The sequence below is a fragment of the Homo sapiens genome, chromosome 12 (genome assembly GCF_000001405.40).
Source record: "Homo sapiens chromosome 12, GRCh38.p14 Primary Assembly".
Classification (NCBI taxonomy): domain Eukaryota; kingdom Metazoa; phylum Chordata; class Mammalia; order Primates; family Hominidae; genus Homo; species Homo sapiens.
In genome coordinates this window covers 65,931,617-65,959,549 of record NC_000012.12, presented here as the reverse complement: position 1 = coordinate 65,959,549, position 27,933 = coordinate 65,931,617, and the positions used below count along the sequence as shown (strand labels likewise).

At 37.8% G+C, this 27,933-nt stretch overlaps 1 protein-coding gene and 1 long non-coding RNA gene across 7 annotated transcripts in view; one reads left to right on the top strand and one right to left on the bottom strand.

Moving 5' to 3' along the window:
- Positions 1–27,933, bottom strand: part of HMGA2 (high mobility group AT-hook 2) — a 141,832-nt gene that overhangs the window by 6,742 nt on the left and 107,157 nt on the right. The window contains exons 4-5 of one of the 2 annotated variants that reach the window (NM_001300918.1): positions 8,135–8,167; positions 7,014–7,194 (exon numbers count right to left, since the gene is read on the bottom strand). In NM_001300918.1, coding sequence (NP_001287847.1) covers positions 7,120–7,194; positions 8,135–8,167 — 108 coding nt within the window. In that variant the 3' untranslated portion in view covers positions 7,014–7,119. Of the gene's footprint in view, positions 1–7,013; positions 7,195–8,134; positions 8,168–27,933 lie in introns of those variants that run through there. The other variant, NM_003483.6, reaches the window with a different exon arrangement.
- HMGA2-AS2 (HMGA2 antisense RNA 2) lies at positions 10,843–26,232 on the top strand. 5 transcript variants are annotated; one of them, NR_199060.1, is made up of 4 exons: positions 10,843–11,115; positions 11,426–11,786; positions 16,857–16,912; positions 24,421–26,232. It is a non-coding gene; the product is annotated as an HMGA2 antisense RNA 2 (long non-coding RNA). The 5 variants fall into 5 exon arrangements; NR_199058.1 differs by lacking the exon at positions 24,421–26,232 and adding an exon at positions 18,324–19,624 and having other exon boundaries at positions 11,426–12,925; NR_199059.1 differs by lacking the exon at positions 11,426–11,786.

Below are 27,933 nucleotides of genomic sequence, written 5' to 3'. Positions count from 1 at the left end.
CCGAAAAGCTCCCAGCCATCATGCAGCTACTTTACAAAGACAAGTGAGGTACCGGGCCGAAACATGTGAGGTTTCTTGGCAGAAAACTGATGAGTGGGGAACAGGGGTGGGCAGAGTTGGAAAACTATATTTTTATTATAACTACTGGAAAAGTGCACTTACTTTGCCTTAGTTTTTCTTTTGTTCATGAAAAAAGGAATTTGATAAATGTAACTCATTGTTTTAGCTAAGTTTGGAAAAAAACTCCACTAAAACCCAGAAATATAGTTTGCACATATCACTGTTCTTTTAATTTGGTTCAACATGATGCATGTGGTATATATACCTTTGGGTACACTTCTTCTAATAGATTAAAAAGGAGGAGGAAGACAGCCCAATATCCAAACTTAACTCCTAAGGCTGATGGAATTTTAAAATGTCTTGAGTTTAATCAGACTTACTATACAGGCATGGATGAGGGTGTGTGCTGGAAGAAAGTTCAATATTTAATGCTAAGAGCTGAAGCTCTGGGTTTAATTTCCAGATGCAGACTAAACAGCAGGTCTGCAGTAGAAGAGGCCAGTGAATTCTAAATGGAACCAAGAAATACAAACACAGGGGTGGTGTCACCACGATGCCCTCCTTTGTGTGTGGTACGGAGTGCAAAAATCACAGTCCATGTCAGCTTTAATAAGTCCTTATCTTTTTTTTTTTTTCTTAACTGCAAAGAATTCTGCAACTCTTCTATTACATGATGTTGCAGGCCAGAAATACATACGTAATTTAAGCTATCTTGCCAATAAACCTACAAATACTTGGTAATCTAGAAAGGGTAGTTATGGCTAAATGGCATTCTTTTTTGTCATCTGTGTATGTTCAACTTCTCAGGAACTCAGAATGACACATTTAGGAGTTTTCCACGTTCATGAGTATCTTGAGTCAGTCCTGTCACAACAGAAATAAAGGGCTCTCTTCAGCAGCAATGACCAGGAACCAGTTTTTCAAGTTCCATCTGTAGCTAAGTGACCGGCAAGACCACAAGGCTGAGTTTTTCTATTTCTCTGTCAGATATTTTCATTTAAAATTTATCGGGACTGTTTAACTTAATGGAAAGTGATTATTTCCTCCAACTAGGAAAACTCTACAGCAGATTTTTAAAAAACATGTTAAATGGAACATATATAAACAATATAACCTGGCAAGAGCAAGGGATTCTGGTGGAAATGCTAGGCGGGAATTATGTTTTTCAAAAGGAGACAATAAGTTGAGATATTGACAGCAATTGTACCTGATCTTGTCTTTATTTTTGCATTATGTATATAAAAACATAGAATTGTTAGGACTTCTTTGTGTGCGTTAGCATCAGCTTAATAAAGTTGGGTTGAAGGTCTTGCTAGGGCATGTTTAATGTAAAGAAGGTTGATCTTGGACCTCACTAATCATAGATGCCAACCACGGCACTAGCAGGTCTCAGTCCCACCGTGTCAGCCCAGTAATGACTATACATGTCTATCTACACTGCAGAGTTGTGTAAGAAATGTGACCACCACTTGGGGAAACCCTGAAAAACGTAAAAATCCAGTAAGACTATAGTGTGAAGCTGTGATTATTAATGTCAGTTACTCATTCTGTGATTATTTCTTTACCTATGATTCAAGGATAGGTTCTTAAGAAAGAAAAAAACTATTAAAGAAGGTCCCCAGAGGAAAGTAAAATAAAAAATCTTAGATTCCTAAAATGCTCTCCTGCTTTTCTTGTCTGTAGCCTCAACAGAGTTCCATCACTGAAAATACTGCAACAGAAGTAATGCTGGTCTCTGGGATACAATGAATTTCTCCTTTCTGGGATAAAGGGCCATTTTTTTAAAATCTGGAAATGGTAGGCACATTTTTCAAATAGGGAAATCATTTTAGGTATAAACTAATTGCAAGTTTCAGGAGTGATGATTTCTGAGGACTACCGGTTTGATCAGTTTTCCATGCCAGGTTCAATTCTTACTGCAGGAACACTGCATTTAAAAAAATAGCTAAAGAAAGCAAAAGGATTTTTGCATAAACAAAGTATTCAAAAGAAGGTAATTTTTTTTTTTTTTAAATAGAGATGGGGTCTCACTATGTTGCTCAGGCTGGTCTCAAACTCCTGGGCTCAAGGAATACTTCTGCCTGGGCCTCCCAAAGTGCTGGGATAACAGGCATGAGCCACCGTGCCCGGCCCAGAAGAAGAAAATTTATTTCAATGTTTCCACAGCTGTTGTGGAATGTTCTTATTTTTATGCAAAGTAGCTTTAAATTATGATTAAAGACTGCTTAAGGGTTATATTCCAGATGTGCTTATTAATGGCATAGACTAGGAAAAACCTTTTCCCTTTGTTTTGTAGATGTGTAAAATTTTGCATAGGTGTTGTATTTGCGGCCAGGGAACAGAATATTTGTGGATTTTAATCATTATTGCACCAAACATTTTTCATTATCCTGAGTTATGACTTTTGAGTAAGATTATAAAAATATCAATAACAGTAAGTTAACAATTTCTCTGTAGACATCTGAGTGTCCAGCAAACATTTCCTGAATGTAAGTGTCTGAGGCAATGCAACATATTTCTATGCAACCATTAAGGATTTTCTTAGAAAGACCAGGTTTTAAAGCCAGTTGCTATTTGTTCCACATTAATTTGGGTCAGCAAGTTTGGAGAGTAAGAAGAAAGATTATATATTGAGTAAACAATTGGTTTTTATCCAGTACACATCAAAATGTAGAGGAAAATTCTGCAATATGAAGAGGAAATGCAGGCAGCCACTGCCATTTTGTTTTGAGCCTAATCCACAGACTTCCCCACACAGAAACAGTCATACTTAAAAAAAAAACTCTCACAGCAAATTTGTCAAGTCCAGAAACACTAAATTTTGCTTTTTGGAGTTTTATAAGTTGCCCTAAATTGATTGATGTTCTTTCACTTCTGTTAGAAGTTGTCATCTCTATAAAACATTTCCTGCCAAGAACCGCTGACTTCATCCTGCCAATATTCCTGTATTACAACTGTTAGCTAAGCTAATTACTTCATCTGTTTACAGTTAATAATCATTTTGATACGCTTCCTCTGCCCTCCAATTTCCCTGTGCTTCTATGTCCTTGAGCTACTTTATTAAGGGTTAAACCTTGGTTTCTACTTTGCTCTCTCCTTTTCCCTTGACCTTGGTGATGTCAGAGGTCAGAGGTTAAGTCAAAAAGTATTTCCTATACAACAAAACCGTGCAACTTAGGGCAACCTTTGATATGATTCTTCATGTTTTGCCAGTTGGTACTAAACATTTACTGGCCCACAAGATGTTTTACTAGCTTGAAAGTGCATAAGCAAGAAAATAAATACATCGGTAATCTTTGTGACTTAGGCAGTATAAATCATTATGCTCCTTGAGTGAGTAGACGAGTGAGTATTTGTAAGTCTGATTTATTATGAACTATTTACTGCACTGGCCAAGGTACCATGTAAAAGACGAGTGTTAGAGTGAGAATGCTTTCCCCTTTCCTCCTTCCCTCTTTGTATGTCTAGACTAAAAGCCCCCAGTAAAAATGCCTTCTTTGAGAACGAGATGCTGACTGCAATTCATCAACTTGCTTGTCCCAAAATGAAATCTCTCATTTTGCTCCAAACAATGTTTAGGTTGTCTGAAATATAAACATCCTTAAAACTGCCCTTGAAGTCTCTGTAAAAACATTCAACATTTTATTTTGAGGGGGAAGAAATCCCGTGATAATCAAGGCTTACTGAGATTTCTTTGCCCGGGTGCACACCACCCACAGAAGATGTTACTTGCAAGTAAAAACTCTTTTTTTGAAACAGAAAGCTTTGTTTCCAGTCTTTTAGAAACTGAAAACTTTGCAATTCTCTCATTGGGAAATTGAAAAGGAGCAGGTTTATACCTGTCCTAATTGCCAGAGGCATCGTTTGCCAGGGCTGTACAACAATGGGGAAAGTGGATTGAAAGGGTGGAGAGCTGTTAGGATTTTAAAAACCTGTTTTCCCTTTGGGTAGAAGAAAGGTGAGAGAAAAATGTCTGAATTACATTTAGGGAGTCCCTTCAAGTCTCAGATTAAAGCCTTAAAAGGGAAATAGCAATAAACGATCAAATACCTGATAAACTAGCGAAACTTTTTTAGACATCTCAGTTGGAGAGACACTTATTTTTATCAAAGTAAAAACTTGAGTAACAAAGCACCCTCTAATAATAATAATAATCTGGTACTTTTATGGTGTTTCTTTTTTTAAAAAAAGAAAAAGAAAAACCTACCACCATTTCCTACTGAAGAATGTAATTCATATGACTGAGAATTCAACTGCTCAAATTGCTAAAAAACGAGCTGCTTTCTATTTCTTTCTTTCTTTCTTTTGAGATGGAGTCTCGCTGTCACCCAGGCTGGGGTGCAGTGGCACAATCTCTGCTCACGGCAACCCTCCCCCGCCAACCAGGTTCAAGTGATTCTCCTGCCTCAGCCTCCCGAGTAGCTGGGATTATAGATGGCCGCCGCCACGCCCGGCTAATTTTTGTGTATTTAGTAGAGATGGGGCTTCACCATGTTGGCCAGGCTGGTCTCGAACTCCTGACCTCCCAAAGTGTTGGGATTACAGGTGTGAGCCACTGCACCCAGCCTCATTTCTATTTATTTGTAATTAGCTGATTTCAATTTATTGTTTATCACTTGAAGTGGAAATATAGTAGAGTTATTTTGTAAGCTGTTTTCATTGGTTTTGGAATTTTAGAAAAAAGTTAACGTACATATTACAGATTTTCCCCTTTAGATTTTTAAGAGACTATTAACTCTCCCATTAGGATTATGGGACACACTTGATGTTTGCAGCTGATGACACCTGGTGGATTTCGCAAACACAAACCCCTGCAACAGGGTGGTCCTTCACTTTTCATTTCTCTCTAGATGCATGTACTTGTATACACAAACACAAGTGCGTATGCAGGTGCTGAGATTTATCATAATTCTGAATTTGTCTCCTCAGAATAAACTCTGCTGCTTTGTACCCCAGGTTCAACAAGGGCCATTCTTGAAGTTCTGAGGAGACTTCAGCATTGGGCAGTATGAGGATACTTCACCACAGAGCCTTTGTAATTCTGTATACGTGTGACATAAATGCTAGGAAGATGATTCTGAATGCTTTAGCCCTAACAGTAGGATGGAGCAATTACTAGAAAATTTCCTCCAGCTAAAAAATTCCTGCCTTAAAAAACATTCAATGAAAACACTTGACGTCAAAGAGGAAGTACTTTGGAATAAATCAGGATTCTAGAATTTTTGAGACTATAAATCTCTGGAAATGAAAAACTTAACAGTCAAAAATAAGTCAGAATGTAATAATGCTACCTGGAATTTATATAATTATGCATCTCTTGTAATGTTCTTGGGAGTAAGGGAAAAGGCATTATTATTATCCCATTTCCTAGATGGATAAATAGAGCAAAGAGAAATTAATTAGCCCAGTGATGGGGCCAGAAAGAAAAACGTAGGTCTGTTTACACACTGCTGAGCCCTTTTCTTTAGATGTAAAATATTTAGTTGTGCTAAAATTTTTACCACCTCAAAAGCGATTCTGAATGTAACCCCTCAAAGTGCTGTTGAAGGAAGGATATGAGGCTGAGTTAATCCAGATTGCCTCATGGGAAAGCCATCTGGGAGGGTATTTTGAAAGAAACAGATGGAAAAGGAAGAGATTCTTTTGAATGTAGTGTAAAATTTACATTATCCTCCACGAACTTTCACGTAGTTTTCATGTTTATATAATTCATCACTGTGTCATTACACAATATAAATTAGGTAGCCCAATGAGCTCATGTTCTTTTTTATAATTCTGAGTCTGAACTCTCCTATAAAGGGCAAATCTGGAACAGGGTCTGTAAGATAGCCAGATTGATCCTTGAAGATCAACTCAATCCACTTGTGGCTTCTTTGAGATTCTGAATTCTCTTGGGAAAAACAACTGTGATTTCACTTATATTATTTCTTGATGTATTAATGTCCAACTTGCAATCAGTTCTAGCCATATTAATAATCTCCACCTATGATGTATTTGTTCTTGCCTCTCTACCTTTCTATATGCCATTCATCTCATCTGTAATTTCTTTCCCTTAATTTATGTTTCAGTTTTCCCTTCTGCAACTCAACAACAACAAAATCAAACAAAACAAGAAAATTCCAGTCTTATCATCCCCTTGATAACCTGAGGCATTCCACTCATTCATCTGTATCCCCCGTGTGTCCCATACACATTGACATTCTGTGGTCATTTGCTCAACAAATGTTCAGACATCTTCTCATGTGTTTTCATGGAGTGTCTTCATCTCTAGTTGCATATTAAACTCACTTAGGGAGTTCATAAAAAATATGATGGATCTCCAGACCAAATAAACAGAATCGCTGAAGGGTGGGGCCATGCTGGGGAGGTAAATGTTTAACTACTTGCTCCTCAGGAAAAAAAAAAGTCCTGATTTGTAGTATTTGTCACTTTCCATGGTGTAAATACTCCCACCATAGTGGATTTCAAGCTACCTACTTGACATCACTGAACACAGAATTCAGAAGAGATGTTCACTATTTGCTCACAAGGGCTGGTTCCAGCATACCACTGGATAGGACACAGGCATATACATATAAATACATTTCTCAGATGCAGTGACTGTTTTTCTTTGTTTGACTCATCTTCCCTATGACACTAAGCACAAGGGCTGAATCAATATTAACAAACCACATAAAGTGATTAATCTATAGTTCACAGCCTGTGATGCAAATGTGAACTCTGCCTCATCCTTTGACTCAAATGCACAGAATTATCAATTTACTTTCTCTTGATTTTTGTACAGTTAAAGGATGAGAGGCTAAATATATTTGGGTTCTCCTAATGAAAATGTCAAGTTTTTGTTTATATGTATATATTTTTAAATATTGCTTAAAGACGCACAAACACTGGGTTTTTTTTAGCACCCCTCTCCCACTCTTAGCTTTTAGGTATGGGAGCAGCAATGAAAATGATTTTTTTCATGGTAACTCTGTTTTTATTCCACTTAAAGCTCATATGTAATTGTTTGAAGACACTTTCCTTGGATCCTTTCATGTGTTTGGAAGTTTCAATTCTCTTCTAAGTGGCATTTTTAGAGAACAGTAGATATATAAGATTGCCCGGGTGGTCCTTCCCAGGCAAGGCAACATTGACCTAAGAAAACAGGATGCAAGGTAGATTTGTAAAGACTTCTAGGGAAAAAAATTTCATGGATACTTAAAATTACATGAAAGAGTTCTACTTAATTTGATAGCTCATGACACTGCTTACTACTTATTTTAGCAGGTTCAGCATGATACCACCTGGATCTCCAATGACTATTTACATACAGAAGGGAAGAGAACAGCAGGACGTTCTTATACTTTAATACTGGCTCACATTATTAGCAATCCTGGTTAATTTATACTTCAGTTTTGTTTTCTTCAAGATATGCTTCCTCAATAAATATGTTTTTTTAATGTTTCTATGTACAGATTATAGTGAGGACAAGGTGCTCCAGGAATATGGGGCAAGAGACGTAGAGCTATTTTCCAATTTGATGTTGCCAAAAACTTCAGAGACTGTGATTCAGTTATTTAAATAAGATCTAAGAATGCATCAGTCTGCACGTTAGTATAACTTAATTTCCAAGTATTCTAGCATTCTTTGGAGTGTTTTGGGATCATCAAATATTATGAAATTGTTCAATGAAGAAATATGTTTCCAGTCATGAATCATTAAATATAAGTCTGGTGTCAACAGAATATAGACAGTCAGTTGGAAGGACAAAATTTGATGTTTAAGAATTGGTAAAATATAGGATAAGATTAAATATTTGTTTTACATATGAGGCAATGTAATAAAATAGTTTTATTTTTAAAAGAATTTATATTTGCTTTGTACACTTAAGACCTTACATTTTGGGAGGTTTTCATGGTACGATTGCAGACTATATATTCCTAACTTTGAAGGCTACAACACATTTTCAGGAATACTGCAGGACGATAACCAAAAGTAAGAAAATGCGAAATAAGGTTTAGTTTGGGGACATTTTTCAGTACATATTTCACTTTTTATATTAATTGGGAGAAAAAAATTAATGACTATGTCTTACCTGAGCAGGCTTCTTCTGAACAACTTGTTGTGGCTAAGGAGGAAAAGAAAAAGATATATTTTAAAAGAAAATATACATTATAGAAAAAATTAGGTGTACATATTTTAAATACAGATACTTGTCTGCAAAGGAAAGAGGAAAGTATAAAGTTCAACTGGTATATCCAATGTTAAAAGTGTTTATACTTGGCCAGGCATGGTGGCTCACGCTTATAATCCCAGCGCTTTGGGAGGCAGAGGCGGACGGATGGCTTGAGCCCAGGAGTTGTAGACCAGGCTGGGCAACATGGTGAAACCCTCTCTCTACAAACATACAAAAATTAACAGGGTGTGGTGGCGTTGCAACTGTAGTCCCAGCTACTCAGAGGCCTAAATGGAAGGATCACCTGGGCCAAGAAAGGTCAAGGCTGCAGTGAGCCGTGATCATGCCACTGCACTCCAGCCTGGGTGACAGAGCAACACCCTATCTCAAAAAAAACAAAAATGTCTATTCATGATCTCTCTATATTAAGGAAATACAACATAGGTTATCTCAGTGAAAACAATTCCAATTCCCAATTAAATTCTGGCATACAAGCCAACTAGCTTGAAAGAAACTTAACTGTTTGATTCACTTTGTTTTTAGCCTATATATCACAAAACTGAGGAGTGAAGGTACCTAATTTGTTAATATTTTATTTTTTTAAAACACCTTCACTGAGACATAATTTACATACCACATAATTCACTCATTTAAAGTATATTTTAGTATATTCAGAGGGTTGTGCAACCATCACCACAGTCTAATTTAGAACACTTTCATCTCCTCTAAAAGAAATCTTGTACCCATTAGTGGTTACTCCCCACTACCCTCCACGTCCCTAGCCACCTCCCATGCCTAAGTGACCATGAATCTACTTTCTGTCTCTATGAATTTACCTATCCTGACATTTCATGTAAGTGGAATCATACTATATATGTAGAGTCTTTTGTGTGTGGCTTCTTTCACTGGCCTAGGGTTTTCTAGGGTCATCCATGTGGTAGCATCAGCAGTTCATTCCTTTTCATGCTAAATAATTTTCCCTTGTATGGGTATACCACATTTTACCTATCCATTCATTAGTTGGTGGACATCTGGGGTGTTTCCACCCTTTGGCTATTATGAATAATGCTACTATGAACATTTATATACACGTTTTCGTGCGAACATGTTTTCATTCTTGGGTATGTACCTGGGAGTGGAATCGCTGGTTCATATTGTAATTCTTTGTTTCACTTTTTGAGGAGCTGCCAGACAGCTTTCTAAAGCAGCTGTACCATTTTGCAGTCCGTCCCACCAGCAATGAATCTGGAGTTCCAATTGCTCCGTATACATGCCAATGCTTGTTATTGCCTGTCTTTTTGCTTGTAGACATCCAAGTGGATGTGAAGTTAAACATCATTGCTGTTTCAATTTGAACTTCTCTCACAACTAATGATGTTGAGCATCTTTTCATGTGCTTATTGGCCATTTATATGTCTCCTGGGAAGAAATGTTTATTTAAATCCTTTGCCCATTTAAAAAAAATTTGCTATCTCTTCATAACAAAGTTGTAAGAGTTCTTTTAATGTTTTGCATTCAAGTCCCTTATGATTTGCAAATAATTCTGTGAGTTTGTTCAGTTTCTTCGTGGTATCATGGGAAGAATATTGTGTTATATTGTGTTATATCTGTATCTATTGTATGTGTAGAGCAAAACTCTCCTCTTTTGAGTGAAACATCCGAGGGAATGTTTTTCTGCCTGCCTAACTTTCCAATCGAGTATTAGAGAATACTTCTTATTTCTTTGGCATTATAAAAGATGGATTTGAAGCCTGAGCTTTTCGATGGATTATTTGCTTCCAGTCCTCACTCTCATGTCTGAATATAGGCATGTATTATTCTATCTACACATCGCTGAGATTTGTGAGTACACCTGAGGTACTCTGATGTGGATAGCGACATGCTTTCTTGCACCAGTTCTCCCAAATAACAGCACTTAGGATACGTTCACTATTCACTAGCCCCTGTTCATTCATTCTGAGAGCCCCTTCCTCTCAGAGTTCCTCTCAGTGGTACAGTGGTTTATTGCTGGTACATTAAAAATTCCATATAAAAATCATTAGAGCTTTTTTTTTTTAGATGGACAGAATAAAAATAAAATAAATGGCAAGGTACTTTTGCTCAAAGGAAAAGACGTTCTTCCATTTGACTTTAAATCACAGTAAAGATGACGTCATCACAAAAGCCCAAGTTTTGAGATGATGTTTTCTCCAGGGAAAATCGAACCAAGAACGATGAGGACTTCTTGCCTCTTAGGACACAAAAGCGTGGGCTAATAGAGGATTCATTTCCAAAGGGTCATTTGGAAGAAGAGAGCACTCATCTTCCTCCCATTTTTCCCTGTTGATTACACCTGTACACATGTTTACTCCCAAACCGTTTCAAATCCACATACATTCTTGCAGGCTGACTGGTTCCTACTGCTCAGAAATCCCCCTCCTTTTTTGGCAGAGGCTCCCGCATTCATGTGACTCCTGCACACTGCAGCTCAATGAAATCCTCTGAAAGAGCTGCCAGCTCACCCAATTTTCCATGAATTAGGTCCTGACACTTCAATGAGGGGAAAGACAATGTCTGAATCTCTGCCAGCCCTGGCTCCCGGCCTAGTCCGTGTCACGGAACTTCTACCAGCTACCCTCAGACACAGCACTTCATACTTTTCAGACCACCAAACAAACAGACCCTTGAATACTTTCAATGTTGGTTGGGGTTATGGCTGCCAGGATGTTTTCCCAGCCTCTGGCACCCAATGGCTCCAGACTGTGCCGAGAAAGTTTTTGTTGTTGTTATTTTGTTTTGTTTTTATTTTTATGAATGGCTTTGGTAGAAAACGCAGACTGAAGCATAATACTACCACCATTCATAAAAAGGGAAAGGAAACAAACTGCTGTCTGGAAAGCTTTTTGGACGCCAAACAAACTGTAAGTCTCTTATCTTCCTTGGGGCATCTCTCGGCTCAGAACTAAGTGTTGATTCTTAGAAACCAGTTGCTCCTCGGGGTTCTTGGCATTAAAAACACGACTGGCCACTAGAGTTTTATAAGACCTGAATAACATCAATGATACATATTAGTCTTCTGTGTTGTTAACAGTAAATTTTCATGCACCTTAATAAATGAGTAATATTTTGCACATGCATTTCCTATATGAAAGCTAGAATCCTTTATATTTTTAACATCTGCCCCTTTGTTACTGGGAGGGTCCAGGCCTTACTGTTTTCATTTTCTCACAGGGAAACCAAGGCATAGGGAATTTAAATAATCGTCTGAGATCTTTTTCTAAAACCAAAACAACCCGAGTCTACTGATTCTCTTAATCCCTGATATAATGCTCTGAAGAAACCCAGTCTGTTCCTTGAAAAAAAGAAAAAAGAAAAAAGTCAAATCGAGATCCAATCCAGGAGAAGCTGTACTTCCCGGCTTTGATTTTCATCTCCAGATTGTTCAGCAGGGCCTAGTTCTGATTCCTCCAGGTTGCTGATGAAAAGTGAATCGCAGGGGACAAGAGTCAGACCTGCAAAGTCCAGCTGCCTCACCTCACTTGGAGATTCTTCCTTCATTATCAGTTGTGGAGGGGCTGAGTCCCTCTTAAAGGTGTGTACATCATAATGACTGTTCAGTGAACAGATAGCAAAGCCTTTCAAGTTGTTTAGACAAATCTGATGATCCAATTCTAAGTGTGCACATAGGGAGTTTATACAGTTTAGGCACTTGGTCAACTTGGCATGCAAACCCTTCAATGCACTGAGATTTTGAGTTCATTATGTTGAGACTATTGCACCTTTCAAAAAGCTTGTAATGAAAATCCTCATTCCATGGTTGCATTGAAACTTCTAAAATACAATGGGGTGAAAGAGAGCTTCCTCCCAGAACAAAACATCAATAGCAGCATTGACAAAATCACCAAAGGACTTTGAAGAAATTTTTTGGATTAACAGATGTTAAAACGAAACTGTGGCCGGGTGTGGTGGCTCATGCCGGTAATCTCAGCACTTTGAGAGGATTGTTTGAGCTCACGAGTTCGAGACCAGCTTGGGCAACCTAGCAAGACTTCATCTCTATTAAAAATAATTAGCCAGGTATAGTGGCGCATGCCTGTACTCCCAGCTACTCGGGAGACTGAGGTGGGAGGATTGCTTGAGCCTAGGAGGTTATGGCTGCAGTAAGCTATGATCACACCATTGCACTCCCGCCTGGGTGACGGAGCAAGACTCTGCCTCAAAAAAAAAAAAAAGTGGTGAGAATTCAAAGACCCCATGAGTTGAACATACCACGTGAAGCTTAAAAGGGCTCTTTCTAACCACATGGATTTCAGTGAGTAGTTCTCTGCAGTCTAGCCCTTAGAATGGACTAGCTCAGCCACAATTGAAAGTATAATGCTTAAGCAAATAAATATCATTGTTAAAGTATATACAAATAGCTTAGGGTACAACATGCTAAGAAACTGTAGAAGATAAGCAAAAGGAAAGGACATATTTTTGGATTTCTGAGGTCATACAGCAAATGAACATTTCTCCAAATGGAAGAAAAAAAGTTACTGAATTTTTAAAATCCACAGAGTATTTGGATTTTTAAGATTTTGTAGAGAGACACTTGTGTAGGAAATGGTCTGCCATTCCACCTATTTCAGAATAATTAAGAAGTTCCTCAGCCCTCCTAAGAATACAATCTATGGTTCCAGGAAGTCTAGGTATTTTAAAGCTGATACTCAGACAGCTAAGCCACTCCTTCTGGTAGGTATTGAAAGAAAATCCTTGCTAACAAAGGACCCAGACATTAGTAGTTCATTTTAGTACTAATCTAAACATTAAATAAAAAGAGGCTTGAATTGAGCTTACAAACTTAATTTTTAAAAAAAAATTAGGCACAATGTATGGTAAAGCAAACATGATTATTATGTAAAGGGTCTCAAGTTGACCTTAGAAAGAAAGAAGCCCTTCACATGGCTGTCTGTGCAGATGAGTCTCTGGGTTTAATGTAAGCAGCAGAATTTTAATATAATTAGATCCTTTGCTTCTTGCCAGGCAGTAGTAGGTGATTTTGCCCACTTTGTTTTAAAATCATATGATTTTGTTTTAAAATCATATGACCATTGTTCAACCAATAGGTACTTCTGTGCCATAGCATAATCTTTTTTCATGTAGATTGTTTTCCATTCTCATAGCAATATAGTATAAGACAGATCTTCTAGCTATTTACTAATAAAGAATGTAAAAACCCTAATTTCTATAAAAATTCCTCAATGAGAGTTACATTTTGGGGGCCTTTCACACCTCACAAAATAGCATCTCACAGGATCATCTGTTATTTAAAATTTTAAGTTAAATATGGTGTCATATTAAAAATGTTTACGCAAAAGATATTTGTTTTTCAACTTCCAAAAGAGTCCTTTAGATGTAAGCCAGCTCATTGAACTAGTGAGGTTTATGATCATGTTTGTATCCACACAAGTGTAGCCAGTTTTATCTGCCTGAACTGACAGATGAATATATCCCTACCATATAGACAACATTTCAATAAATACATAGACCTATTACTTAATCACTTCACTGATTTCTAGACAAAATTGACCGGTTATTTATAGAAAAAATGTTCCAAAATATTGAATAAGTAGACACAGCTCAAATTCTAGACAAGTAATCATCCAATCTCTCTGCAAACACTCCAAATGGCCATGAACCATCAAGGCCAGCAGCAGCCTCGACTTGTGTGGTTGGGCACATTGATGGGAGTGGCTTTTGACTTGTGGTGTGAACAATATCCTTCTTCACCCTTTGTCCAAAGTTATTTAAAGGTTCAAAACACAACCTTTCTCTCTGTATAGAACATTCACCGAGATCCACTTTCATTTATGTGCTGTGAAATATGCTCTTATCCTCAGAAATTTCACAGTGCTGTCCTGAATATATTTTCTTTGAATTTGACATTTACCTGGCTGAAGGAGGATGACCATTATCAAGAATTTGCCTTTCACGAAATTATGTGATCGACATACTTGTTCATGGCCCTCCGGATTTAGTTTTAAAACTTCAATATTCCAGAATGTCAAGATTTGTGTTTGGGTCACTTTTCAAAAAATGAACTTCAGGCTTTGGAGGCTTTGAATCATTTTTTTTTTTTTTAAAGCATAAGAACCTCCCCCACACCTTTTATGTTAGATCTTATGTGGAACCCTACAACAGAAAGCAGACAAAATGGTATTTCTGAGACTCATTCACGTGGCCTCCACTCCAATCCATCTCTGCCCTCCCAGGATGCCCCTGAGGCCCCTCAACGAAAAACTGGAGCTCCAGGGGAGGTTAAGTAAAAAAAAAAAAATCTTAGGGCTAAGCATGTTGGCACATGCTTTTAGTCCCAGCTACTTGGGAGACTGAGGCAAGAGGACTCGAGTCCAGAAGTTCGAGGCTGCAGTGTGCTATGATCGCACCTGTGAGTAGTCACTGCATTCCAATATGGGCAACATAGCAAGACTCTGACTCTTAAAAAACAAAAATCTCTGATTTCTAGATGCAAACCCTCCTGCAGACCTGTATCACCAGGATAGGTGGAGGCAGAGCGTCTTCATAGCATTCACCCCGTGTGACTCATACTATCAGGTTGAGCTAGCTGAACTGGCATTTTTGTAGGTCAGAACCAATCAATTATCAGCAATTTCATATGGTTTAATCCCATACAATCAAGATAAGGTCTTTCTAATTCAGTAAGGTAATTTTTGTGACTTGTCATTAGGCTGTATTAGGCAACAGATTTTTGTACCTTCTGCGTAGCTTTTTGTACCTTCTGAGATCCTGTACTCAATTTTTCTGCTCACTCCTCTCCAGCCTGGATCCTTCCCCTTACACTTATTTTACCAAAGACTGCCAGATTGTGGTGAAAAGAGGGATTGGCCTATACCAGGTGTGGTGTTCCAGTTTCTTGCTTATGCTGTGGTTGTTCTTCCAGAGCACCAGGACTGTCTTTGTGGCCATCTGGCTAGATTCTCATACCCACTCCAAATCCACCTGAACTCTACCTCTTCATTGAAACTGGATGACTGAAATAATTTGTACATAACACATCTCTGTGGCTATCCAAGGAAGGTCTAGAATGAAAACTGTCACTTTGAATTAAATTTAAAATTAATGGTCAACTCAGGTATTGATCAGATATAGGGGAGTTCAGTTTGAGGTATTCTACAATAGTAAGTGATCAAAAAGTTTTAATGTACCTAAGGAATGTATTTTGATAATTAGATAGGAATATGATATATCTGAAGTTTGAAGGATTTATTTCAGATCAAATGTTGATGCAACATTGTGAGGATGAGACTCAGCTACAGCTAGCTATACAAATCACACCTCTAGGTACCACTTTTCTGGGGTTGAAAGCTTTTCTGTTTTAGTGCTTCCTAAGTTGGGAATGAACCTGCCCCCTAGTGATGGGAGGCTTTGGTAAAGAGGAGAAACCATCTACCAGGAGTAGCTAGTCAGGGTTTTCTCTGAACCTAGAAAAAGCCTAGGTTAGGTCTTAACTTCCATTCATTGTGCCTCCTGTGTGCATTTAGAGATGACTGTGAAATGTGTGTACACATGTAGCTATGGGTGGTTACAATTCAACAGTAACATCTGGCCCTTATGGTGCAAAGGAGATTTTGTAGTTCTCTGTACAAAGTCTCCTAAGAAGCGATAAATCTATGGGGGAGTTTTGGCAAAATCTCTGGAATTTCTGCTTGGTATTGTGGAAGAGGGGAAGTGTTCTTTATTTTCTATTCTACTTGGCTTTGCGCTTAGACTTTAATGCAAAAGACAAAAGTAAGCATCATTTCAAAAGTATTTATTGGATTATTATAGCAAAGTGCCCTCACTGCTGCTGGCCTTGTTTCATCTGCTCAAGGATGAGAATAGCCACAAGCTGCTCTAGTTAGTGTTGATTAACATCAGACTGCGTATGTGTGGCAATGAGCCATAGCAGCTCTCATGAGAACAGACTGGGGGGCTGATACTTTGGAGTTTTTGCCTTCCCTCTGGTGCCTTTCAGACACCTTTGGAATGGAGTGAAAAGATCAATGGGAAGCCCTTTAAAAATCACAGTGTCATGATTAGTTTCAAAATGTATCCTTCTGGATTCTGACCTGATGAAGTGGTTCATTGGCTCATCGAATACTAATTGATATTTGAACTATATGACAGGCAGGAACTGGGTGTAGAAAACAAAGAAGAAATCTTTCAAGAAGCCTAGAGTCTAATGGGGGAGACAAATGAAAAACAGATATTAGAGTACAATGTACAATTTTAGATTAATATTTTTTTCCTACAATGTTTTCTTAAGTGCGGGGAGGCGTGCTCATCAAATATGGAAAAGATAAATGTATGAAAGAAGAGATGACTATTTTCTTTATAATAGGGAAAATGAAAAAGTAGAGATAAGGTCACTGAAAAAAAATTCCAGAAGAAATTTGAAGACGAAGTAGAAGAAAAGTATCACTTTTTCCCTATCACAAAGAAATACATTAAGAAAATTTCTTTGCCTTCACTTTGGAAAGTTAAAGATTACAGTTAAGCTTAACAAATTAGAAAGCAAAAGATGTGGTTTGGGGATAGTGTTGTCAAACCATGGTTAGTGTTAAGGGGATGCTCCGGTGTGCTCCCGAGTTATAGCAGTTTAATAGGCATTTTTGTTTTACAGGAGATGGTTGTGCTCTGAGGAACATAAAGCAGTCTGAAGTAAACAGTCGCACACAGGTGGGGTAAAGGAATACACAGTCTCAGAAGTTGACTTTTCATCTCATTTTTTATGATTCTCTAAGATTTTAGGGGAAAAATCCACCCTTAGTCAAAAAGTGGAGTGAAAATTGTGAGATTAATGTTACTTCATAGAAAATAATGAATGTTTCAGTCCTATTTCCTTATGCTACAAGTTTTCAAAAAAGGAACGCTATACATATATATGTATACACACACACACATATATACATATTTTTTAAGGCCCAAATTATTTATTCTATATGTATTTCTTTTTCTCTGTGTATGACCATTCACAAAGCTAGGTCACTTTGCATATGCACATGTGCTTAAGAGCCAGCACAGGAAAATGAATAAATATTTGAACTGCCATGCTGCTGGGTTTTCACAAATCAAACATGTATGCACAGATGCTATAGCCTAAGTTCAAACTTTAGCTAATGTTAACTCCAGCCAAATAAAGACTAATTAATGCTCAATATTAGATGAAAAGGAGGCATCTATGAAATAATGGAAATGAAATTAGATGCTATTGGAGATTACCAAGAATTAATATCCAAATTTGTTGTTAATACTCCAATCACGTTGGCAATATACTTGAAAGTCCCTTTAAGATATGCATCTTCTTGACATTTGGCCAATTATTCAGATAGAGATTATATGAAATCGGATCAGGACTTGAACTAGATACACACAATTTGACATGTAACATGTATATCTTTTCTTGTATGCTTGCCCATAAGCTTACAGAAAAATATGATTTTTAAAACAGTTCTTAGTACTTTCATTCTGACTAAAGAGATTTAGAATCAATACTCAGAAAATTTATTTGGTTCCAAGAACATTTGCCCAATCTTAGACTAAACATTTGGAAATGGTTTTACAAAATGATTTGACTATCAAGTATTTCCCAGCAGCTATAACAGTTACACATGGAAACTGAATTTAAAAAGCTGAATCATGATTTTAGGCATTTCTTTTCCTTAAGGAAAGAGTCAGTACATTTATTTGTAATCTCTTATGTTCTCAAGGACTACAAATGGATAGTTTATGGGTTGAGTGCTCTATGATACTTAACTGAGTCATATCTCTCCTAGAAGCCTAATTTAGCACTATTTTCTTGGCACTAGTTTAGGGCTGACTTTAGGAGTTGAGTTGTTTTTCTTGGAGGAAGCTTAATATTCACTCCGAGAAACATTAACTATTCCCGAACATTAGCTTATATCCTTAACGTTTTTAAACAGTTGTGAAGTGAGTTCTTTCTGCTACATGCCCACACTTCCACAGTGGCCCTGACACCCTGGCCTTTCCAGAGGATACCTTCTTCCTGGACCTTCCTTCACGGTCTTCTCTGGATTGATGACCTTTCCTCAGAAGCTGTAAATTAAAATGTCTCCATTCCCTTTTTTAGAAAATCAAATACTTCATTCGTCTTGTCTTCCGAATCTACTCCATCTCAAACCTAAGTGGAGCTTCAGGCAACTGTCTTGAACTACCTTACTCAGCTCAACTTCCCTAAAATGGATGATTCTGGGTTCAGCATTCCGTTAACTTAAAAACTGCTTATCTTTGTTTAGCATTGTATAGAATATTCCAGAAATGTCTCTCTGAACTCGGCTTCACGATCACATTCATGGAATCAAACATTCTTTCATTTCAAGATGAGATGACACGAGTTTTCATTTTGTTGATATCGATCATATGATGATAATGCATAATTTGTATGTGTCACATAACAGTGACACATAGTTTGTAACGTGATTTAAAAGTGCACTGACTGATTTTAACCCTTACAACAACCATGTACAGAAGTATAGCCATTCAGATTCATGCATGCAGAAGCTAAATCCAAAAGACAGTAATTGACTTGCAAAACATTGCAAGGCCAGCATATAATGAAACTATAACACCCACCCAGGTTGTATAGCTCCACATCTTTTTCCCTTCTCACTATTCTACACTGCCCCAGAAAAGTATTTTGGGCAATTATTCAGCATATTCTGTGCTTCTTATTTTTTTTACGAAGAAAATCAGTGTTATAGGCAACCATCCTCTTTTATCTATAAAAATAGCATCTGTTTTTAAAAACATAATAAAAATCTAGCTTCCTTGGACTATGATTTCACTAAGAAGAAAAATGACCAAATAAGGAGAAAAACTGCATTTTAATATAACAATTTAAAAGATCTTAGTTCAAAAGAATGTTTCTAATATATTTAAAGGACAAATCAGCACTAGAATACTATTTTTATAGTAACAGCTTTGCTCTGAAAAAAGTTTTCTCATCAAAAAGTTCAAGATGTTTTAGAAATATAAAGAGCATCTTGTTTCTCACTAGATTTCTATAAAAGTAGAAATCCTATCCTGCTATTCTTATTTATAGCTATATCTATCTATCTATACTTTCTTTAATCTTTTATTTCTATTATTCCTCTTGAAAACTCTATAGAAAAGAAATTCAGTTAAGGCTATGAAGGCTAAAATATCCGTGATAAATGTTAATGACTTATTTTTGTTTTTTTTTCTCTCTTGTTTATCACCTGCTATAATATTTGATTATGTTACAAATGTTAGCTATAAATTCTGTGGTATCTATGATATAGAAAATATACAGGCACAGTTCCTGTACCTCTGGACTTTACAATCTCATGTATTATGTGTTATTGTCTGTGACCAAAATATGGAGAAGAATAAAAATGCTTGTTCCCCATACAGATGCCATACGAGTCTTTCCCATAATGATGTAGGCCCATCTACATAATCACATCTCTCCCCTTCCCATCCACATGGCTTTCTACTGAAGAAATCTCCACGTCTCTTGCCTTTAATCCCTTGTCCAGTATGGTCTCTGTGTTCCCTGGCTGGTGCTCCCGTGCATGTGTTCATTTCTGTAGAATGTTACCATCCATGACATTATTTTTTACTTATGATACATAAATACAGAGGAAGTCATTTAAAAGACTTCATTTAAAGCTTGTATGTGGCCGGGCGTGGTGTCTCACACCTATAATCCCAGCACTTTGGGAGGCCAAGGCAGGGGGATCACCTGAGGTCAGGAGTTCAAGACCAGCCTGGCCAACATGGTGAAACCCCATCTCTACTAAAAGTACAAAAATTAGCCAGGTGTGGTGGTGGGTGCCTGTATTCACAGCTGCTCAGGAGGCTGAGGCAAAAGAATAGCTTGACTCTGGGAAGTGGAGGTTGCAGTGAGCCGAGATCACGCCACTGTGCTCTAGCCTGGGTGACAGAGCGAGACTCGGTCTCAAAAAGAAAAAAAAAAAGCTTGTATGTGTGCATGTGTGTGTGTACATATAATATTTATACATATTTACATTAAGACACATTACTAGTCAAAGCTACCGACACACTGCTTCATGCTCCAGTATCAGAGAAGCTGTGTTTACAAACATTGAGCAGAGCATAACACCAATGGAAAATTTCAGGGAGAATCTTCCCAAAGCAGGGAAATTGGCCATCTACCTGACTCACTCAGTCCCTACTATGTTTCTAGTCTTCTGGAAGAAGTAAATATTCAAAAAAGGTTTCCAACTAATTTCTAAGCCTCTCATTGCCTGGAAGAAGTCCTCTTCCTCTTGTAGCTCTTCTTCCTCAAGCGCTGAGTCATACCTTCCATATATCTCATAAAAGAGTGCTTGTTAGAAATGCTGATTCCTGGACATGACTCTTAGATTTGGGGGGCCCAGTGACTTGCTTGGGAGGATGAGGTGAGAGGATGGCTTGAACCTAGGAGTTCGAGGCCGGCATGGGCAACATGGCAAACTCTATCTCTAAAAAAAAGTACAAAAATCAGCCGGGTGTGATGGTACATGCTACCCATTTGATAGTAGTAGTCTCAACTACTCAGGAGGCTGAGGTAGTAGGATCACCTGAGCCTGGGGAGGTCGAGGCTGCCATGAGCTGTAATCGTGCCACTGCACTCCAGCCTGGGTGACAAAGTGAGACCCTGTCTCTAAATAAATAAATAATTAAAAAAAAACGTTGTCATGGGAAAACAATGCTTACACACCTACAATTCTTTTCTCTAATAAGGGAGTTGTTAGCATGAGAGAGTTACTTTTTTGGAGTTCCAAAAGTGGATAGAAGAAAATGAGTGTATTTTAAAAGACATATTAAATATAATTTGATCTCCCTGTATTTCCTGCTGATCAGTGTATGTAAGGAGGTAATGGAAATCCAACCAATTTGTAAGACTGTAGATAAAGAATTCTGATGAGTCTCAAATAGCCCACCAAAGATAATTCCTACTGTATGCTTTTGGGTATAACAGTGAACCCCAACTCAAACTGATTTAATAATAAGGATATTATTTACTTAACATAACAAAAAGCCTGGAGATGATGCACATTTAAAGTTGGTAAATTCAGTAGGTCAAGAAATGTCGGAGCTTCAGATTCTTTCTTTCTGCTCTTCCAGTTGACATTTATTCTCAGTCTATTTCCTTCAGAGTCAAAAAATGGGTACAGCCATTTGCAGTGTCCATTCATAGTGGCACTTCCAGAAATGTCAAGGTCCAGCAGGAGAGTCTCTTCCGACAGTCCCTGCAGATTTCATGGCCCTTTTTAACAGGCCAGACCTGCTTTGCAAGGGGAATGGGACCAGCATCACCACCATGAACAAATCAGATTTACCCCAGGGCCATGGAGAGGGTCACTTTCTGTGAACAAAGGAAATTGGGGAATGGATAGAGAGTAGCAACTGGTTTGGCTTTGCACATTTTACTATTCTCTGTGCTGGTTTGTCTTTGAGGGTTGGTAAGAAGCGCCCTCTTGACCCTGAAATCAGCTGCACAAGATTTTTCTTTGCATTGTTTGTCCAGGGCTAGTGCATAAAGTGTTTGCCTTTGTCAAATTGTTCCTGAGGAGGTAGAAGAACAGCCCTCTTTGTAGAACGTGTATGTTTCAGTTTTACAGTTATTATGGAGATGGTGTCAGTGGTTTTTGCTTTCCTGGTCTGTTTGGAATTTTCCTCTGGCAAATCCAGATTTGTGGACCAAAGGGTGTAGCTGTTCCTGACAGCTAGTTAATGAGTGTGCCATACTGCCTAAAGACCAGCTGTAACTCATTGGTCATGTCCAAAAGGAATTCCAGAGATGGGTAGTAAATAACTAACATGAGCTTCTGCCCACATTCTGGAAGCCGACTAAATGTCTACTGACTTTTAATGGGAGTCAACTGCAGTTCTGCTTGGTTAAGTTGAAGAAGAGCAGAACCTGGGGTTGTGCTTGGGGCCGTCTGCTGCCCAGTCATAACTATTCTCTTTGTTCAATGCCGCTCTTCCGGCTCCCTGTCAGTTCAGCAGGGGAGTATCCCACTCTAGGAACAAGTTGTCTATTGAAATGAGATGCTTGTCTCTCTGCAGATGCAGTGGTATTCAAGTCCCTGGCTCTAGATAATACACAGTTTGGTATGTCTGGGCTTATTGCCAGATGTGCAGGTATCTCTGATCTTGGGAAGAACTGTTGGTGGTGGTAGCTTTTAAAAAAAAATTAATTTTTTTAAATAAAAGAAGGATGTTTGTAAGGTGCTATCTTTGATTGTAGTTGCTCTTTCCAGGATATGGAAGTTACTTTGGAGTATTACACGGGCAGCTTTTTGGCCTTGGGAAAAATTCTCCTCCAAATAACTCACTGGGCTTTGTAAGGGTTAGGAGGTGACATCTTGGTACCTGGTGAGTTCCATTCCCTTCACATACAGGGAAAGGAAGTTCAAGATAGTGGGGGAAGAACAGGGCTTTGGGGCCAGAAAGACCTCTGAGATCAAGTATGAGACCAGGTATGCGTAAGCTGTGTGACCTGGTAGCAATTTAAACTTCAATTTCCTTAATTCTATAAAGTGGATTCCTCATTGGGTTGCTGGGGTGATTAAATATGATGAATGACACTAAAGTACATAGCACAGTTGCTGGCTGAAAGAACTTAATAAGCATTATTCAATAGCACTAGGGAGGGTGGCGGTGATGGCAGTAGTAGTCACCGTAGCAGCAGTGGTCATGTAATCCTTATTGTTTATGATTTGCAGTGCTCAGTATCAATAAATGTAGTACCACTGTGATGAATGATTACAGGTCTCTCTGTATTATCAATGTAAAACCTGCACTCTCTGATTTGCAAGTTAGTCACTTAAGCCTGGCCGTTTCTGTGGCGTTTGGAATTCTAGTTTCAGCTGCACAGGAATATGTATGGCAACCAGAACAGGATTTTTTATGTGCTTTGTTCACCTAACTTGTGCAGGACAATGGCAATTTCCTTTGTATTGTGTGACGCAGAGTTCATAGGCATACATTTCACAAAGATGTTATCTAGACTGATTTCCTTCATTCAGCTCTAGCCTGGCTATTTAAAGTACTTGATTTGTGGATAGGGATATCCTCCCCCCACATTCTTGTAAGGCCAAAAAAAAAAAAAATGAATGGAACAAAAGATTTACAGAGAGAGCAAAGAACACACGCATTCATAATATTAACAAGGAACAACATTACTTAATAGTAAAAGGAAAACAGCTTAATAATAGTGGCTTGCAAACTACATCTGACCCACAGATTCCATTTGTGAATGGGTCCAGCCATGTGAACATTAAAGCTATATGTATTAGACATGTATGAGAATTCCCTGTAGCTTTTTTTCATAATATTACTGTAACAGGACGCTGCATCAAGAATGCAGTGCCTTAAGCACTTAACTGCTACCCTGCAAGACTTTACAGCTTAAAGTACTTCCCTTGTTCTCCTATCTTCAAAACACCCTGGGCTGCTGGGAAAGAGATCCAGACTTTAAAATGTACTATTGTTTGAGATTGCTTTTGAAAGGAACATCTATTTTATAAAATTTAATTAATGACTACCAATTACATTTCAGGATTTGAAAGAAAAAAAAAGCTTCTTTTTCTTCAACAGTTACCACTCTCTAAAAATAACTCTCAGCAAGTTACAAAATTAGAATTTCATTAAAAGCAAACTTAATTTTTCCATGTTCAAAGTTATGTGTTGCTTACAAACTACCTTTAGTATGCTTAGGCTGTTAAAGAGTTGACAGATACACTTTTCTCCAAGATCATAACAGTAAGTATTCACACTATGATGTCTGCATGTGTGTTATGCAGACAGAAAAAAAAAAAGAAAAACCCAAATTCAAACAGACGTGTAGTTAGGCTATAACGAGCATGTATAACACACTGCAATTATGCAGATATTTCTGTCAAAGAGATGTCATTTACTCAACAAATTTTCAAATAGCTGCTTTGTGCTTAGATGACTAATAGATTATTCTCGAGCAAATGTTAAGCAGCCATCTAATAGATCACATTCAACTATAAGTTCACTGTTTAACAAGTTATAATGGTGCTAATAATTGATAAAATTCCCTATATACATATAAGCTTAGAATTAAGCTAATTTTTCAACCTATTGTTTGACATCAAATGGAACACAAAGCTAATATGGAAGAGCTTGAATGTTGGAACAATCTAATTTTCTTGATGCTTCCCCAACAGACGCAACAACTACAGTATCTTCAGGATGCAAAGCCATACAGGCGCTGTCAGTTCCCTTCTACTGGGGGGCAAGAAAACCTCCCTTTGAGCTGTGGTGACAGGGTTACATGGGAGGGTTTGGTTGCTCTTCAGTTCAGAAGCCATCACTGCCAGCACCTGCAACTTGCTGCTCTGCACCTTCTGCTCTGACCACTGGTGAGAGAAGTCACTCCTTCCTTCTCTTGCTCTTAAGATCCCTCTTAAGTCCTGCAGGGTAACACCTGCTTGGCTGCCACAGAGGTGTCTGGGTCTCCTGGTGCCTTTATGGATACTCACCACTCATGCAGGGTCTTCAGGGAGAAGATGAAGAAATCAACAGCCAGCAGCATGAAGAATGCCAGCCTCTAGGTTGAGTGATTTCATTCACAGTTCCTCAACCTATGTGCAAATCACTTTCAAGTGAGGAACTTCTATTCATGTGAACAAATGTAAGCATCAGAACAAAAGTGCCTCAGTTCTGCTCATCACAAACAGATGACATTTGTGGGTGTACCAACAGCCTTTATAGAGAAAATGGAGGTATGATTTGGTAGAAAACATAGAGGCCAAGGCTCTCAGGAAGACAGATTTTGCATTCTCTGGTTATAGCCACAACATATTAGATAGTAAAATCACAGGAATGTCGTTGAACAAGTGGGCTGGGGTATAAAAGGAACCATTCTACAGCATGAATTCCAGTATTCTCCTAATGAAAAGGAAAAAGACCAAAGCATAAAAGTATGCTGATGTTATTAGAGAATATGGTCATTGCTACACAACTGGAAAAAGTGAGCATGGGAAAATGTCACTGGATCCAGGCAATACTGGTTTTATCCCCCCAGCCCCTGTATTTTATCAATGGTTGCACAGTGCCACTGTTGAAAATCTGTATAAATTCACAATTACTCCAATTATATGGAATAATATCTCGCAATGTAGCCATTTAAATCTGAATTAAAGCACTTAGAATGTATTTTCTTTAAGTGGCTCTTTTTGAAAAGATGTGAGAATTCCCTATTCTTTGAGGGCTACTGTTCAGTGAATATACAAACACATGTAAACTTTTTCTGCTACTGCAAGCTGAGGCAGAAGAGAAGGTAGGATATAGTTGATATAGGAGTTTACAGAAGAGTTCTGTGGCTTTTTCTGAGAACTCATATCTGGGCATACTCTGTCCCAGGGCAGTTCTATATTAGTGATAAAATTGGTCTACGTTGGCATTGCTTTCTTCACTCTATTATGGTGTTTGTTCATGGCCCTATGGGTTCAAACAAATTAAGGACAGGTTAACTCTTCTTACAAATGGTTAATAATCATTTAGTGATTAGGGAAAAATTGTCACTGTTGCTTACTCCTTATAGAGTGCATACCAGTGTTTAAAAAGATAAAGACATTTTTGATGGATACCTCCCACTATCTTTTATATTTATTCTTTCAGTCAACCATAATTTCAGAATAACAGACTTACCTATGCATAGCTACTGAGGAAGCAAGGTATAGTTTGGTAAATTTTTTAAATAATCTTTTTATCCTTTAGCATTAATTACCTCATTCACTGAATGCATCATTCTGTATACAAAATGTTATTACAAAGTGGATTTCATAAGAAATGCAATCTATTTTGCAGACTATAGTGATTGTTTACACAGGATAAATTAAAGGGGTGCTTTGCAACATCGCTTATGCTTAAAGGACAAAATATTAAGGAGGTTTAAAGAAAACTTACAGCTTAGTTTTGTGTCTGGTCAGGTATATGTAATTTTTAGTACAATAATAAAAAACAAACTTTCATGGAGTTCTGCAAAGGTCTTTCCTGTATATCAGCATGTATATGAAGAGACCATGTTTACGAAGCACGGAATCGTCCCCAGGTTACTCTTGGCAGCTGATAATGAATGAAGGAAACATTTCAAACCTATGCTAGTCTACCTCCAAAGGCCCTACTTTATCTTCAAATTATACTAGATAGGAGTGTAATCATGATAAAGAATTCGTAAGAATGCAGTTCATCCCCTAAATATCCTAGCTGAACTTCTCAAAGTGATAAGGAATGCTCCTCTGTCACAGCCCAAGAATAAACTTAGCATATATAGGACAGAGGTGTGGGAAAGAAAAAACAAGTTGGTGTCTGTGGTATGTGCCCAAGATGCCAAAATCACTGATGTTTTGAATGGCAGTGGCAAGAACAACCTCATTGGCTATAGTCATTGCAATAATTGTTTTTTATAAAGTGAGGACATCCTTTTGAAAGATGGCTGCTTTAGATTTTGCCTTGAACACAAATTTTGTAGACAGTAGACCTGTCACAATGCCCAGAGAGTCCTGTTGCTGCACAGTTTCCCTCCAATTTCTAGAGAAAGTGGCCAATGATTAAAAATTTAAAAAAGCACTCTCATATCTGTAGTACTATTCAAGGAGGGACAGGGCATTACTGCCTGGTGGTAAATACATTCCACACTATTTATCACCAAATAGCTCTATCTGTCATGGTACTGTGACTGGTCCTACACCCAAATTAAGGTTTATAGAATTGAAACTATCCTTTTAACTATCCATTGAACTTGTTTATTCATTTATTTTTTTCATTTATTCAACATACATTCATTGAGTGCCTTCTATACACCAAGCACCAGGGTGGGTACATAGTTCCTGGCATATAGCCAGCATTCAAGAAATGAGAAAGGAAGAAAGAATGAAAGAATATGATCTTTGCCACTTGACAAGTCTAGTGATGCTTATGTTAACAATCAAACATTATCAAGAGAAACATAAAATTACAGTGAATTCATAAATGTAGTTTGAGACACACATATCATGCACATTGGCTGAATTTGCATATACAACCACATTAACAAAATTTGAAGTTAAAATTTGAAGGCAATAACTCAACTATCTGGAAAATTAATATCCCCTGAGATTCCAAGATTAGATGAGCATTTACAGTACCCAGTTTTGACTCCAGCTCTCACTTCCCTCTTCCTTCTGGGAAGAAGAGGTGCAATGACAATTAATGTGAACCTTACATGAAGTATAACTATCTTGTTTTATACTTCTTAGAATGAAAATGCAGATTTCTCGTGCTCGAAAACCTGGACATTGAAGCCAAATATATGCTATGGAAAAATTAAAGAATGAAGGTAACCGGATTATCCAAGTTTACATAGCTTACACTACTCAAATTTATTTTATTTTTTTGAGAGACAGGGTCTTGCTCTATCGCCCAGGCTGGAGTGCAGGGGCATGATCATAGAGCTGCCTGTAGCCTCGAACTCCTAGGCTTAAGTGATCCTCTTGTCTCAGCCTCCTGTCAAGTTTAAACTATTCAAACAAACCTTCATTTCTTGGGTTTGGTAAATATTTCAGTCCTGCATTGACTGTGTCGTTCTGGCGCCCATCCACTAATAGATCCATGCACTTAGAGGTTTTAGAGGAGAAAGGGACATAGATGCCTAATCAGCAATTTGTATGCTAAAAATACCGTGTACATTTGGACAC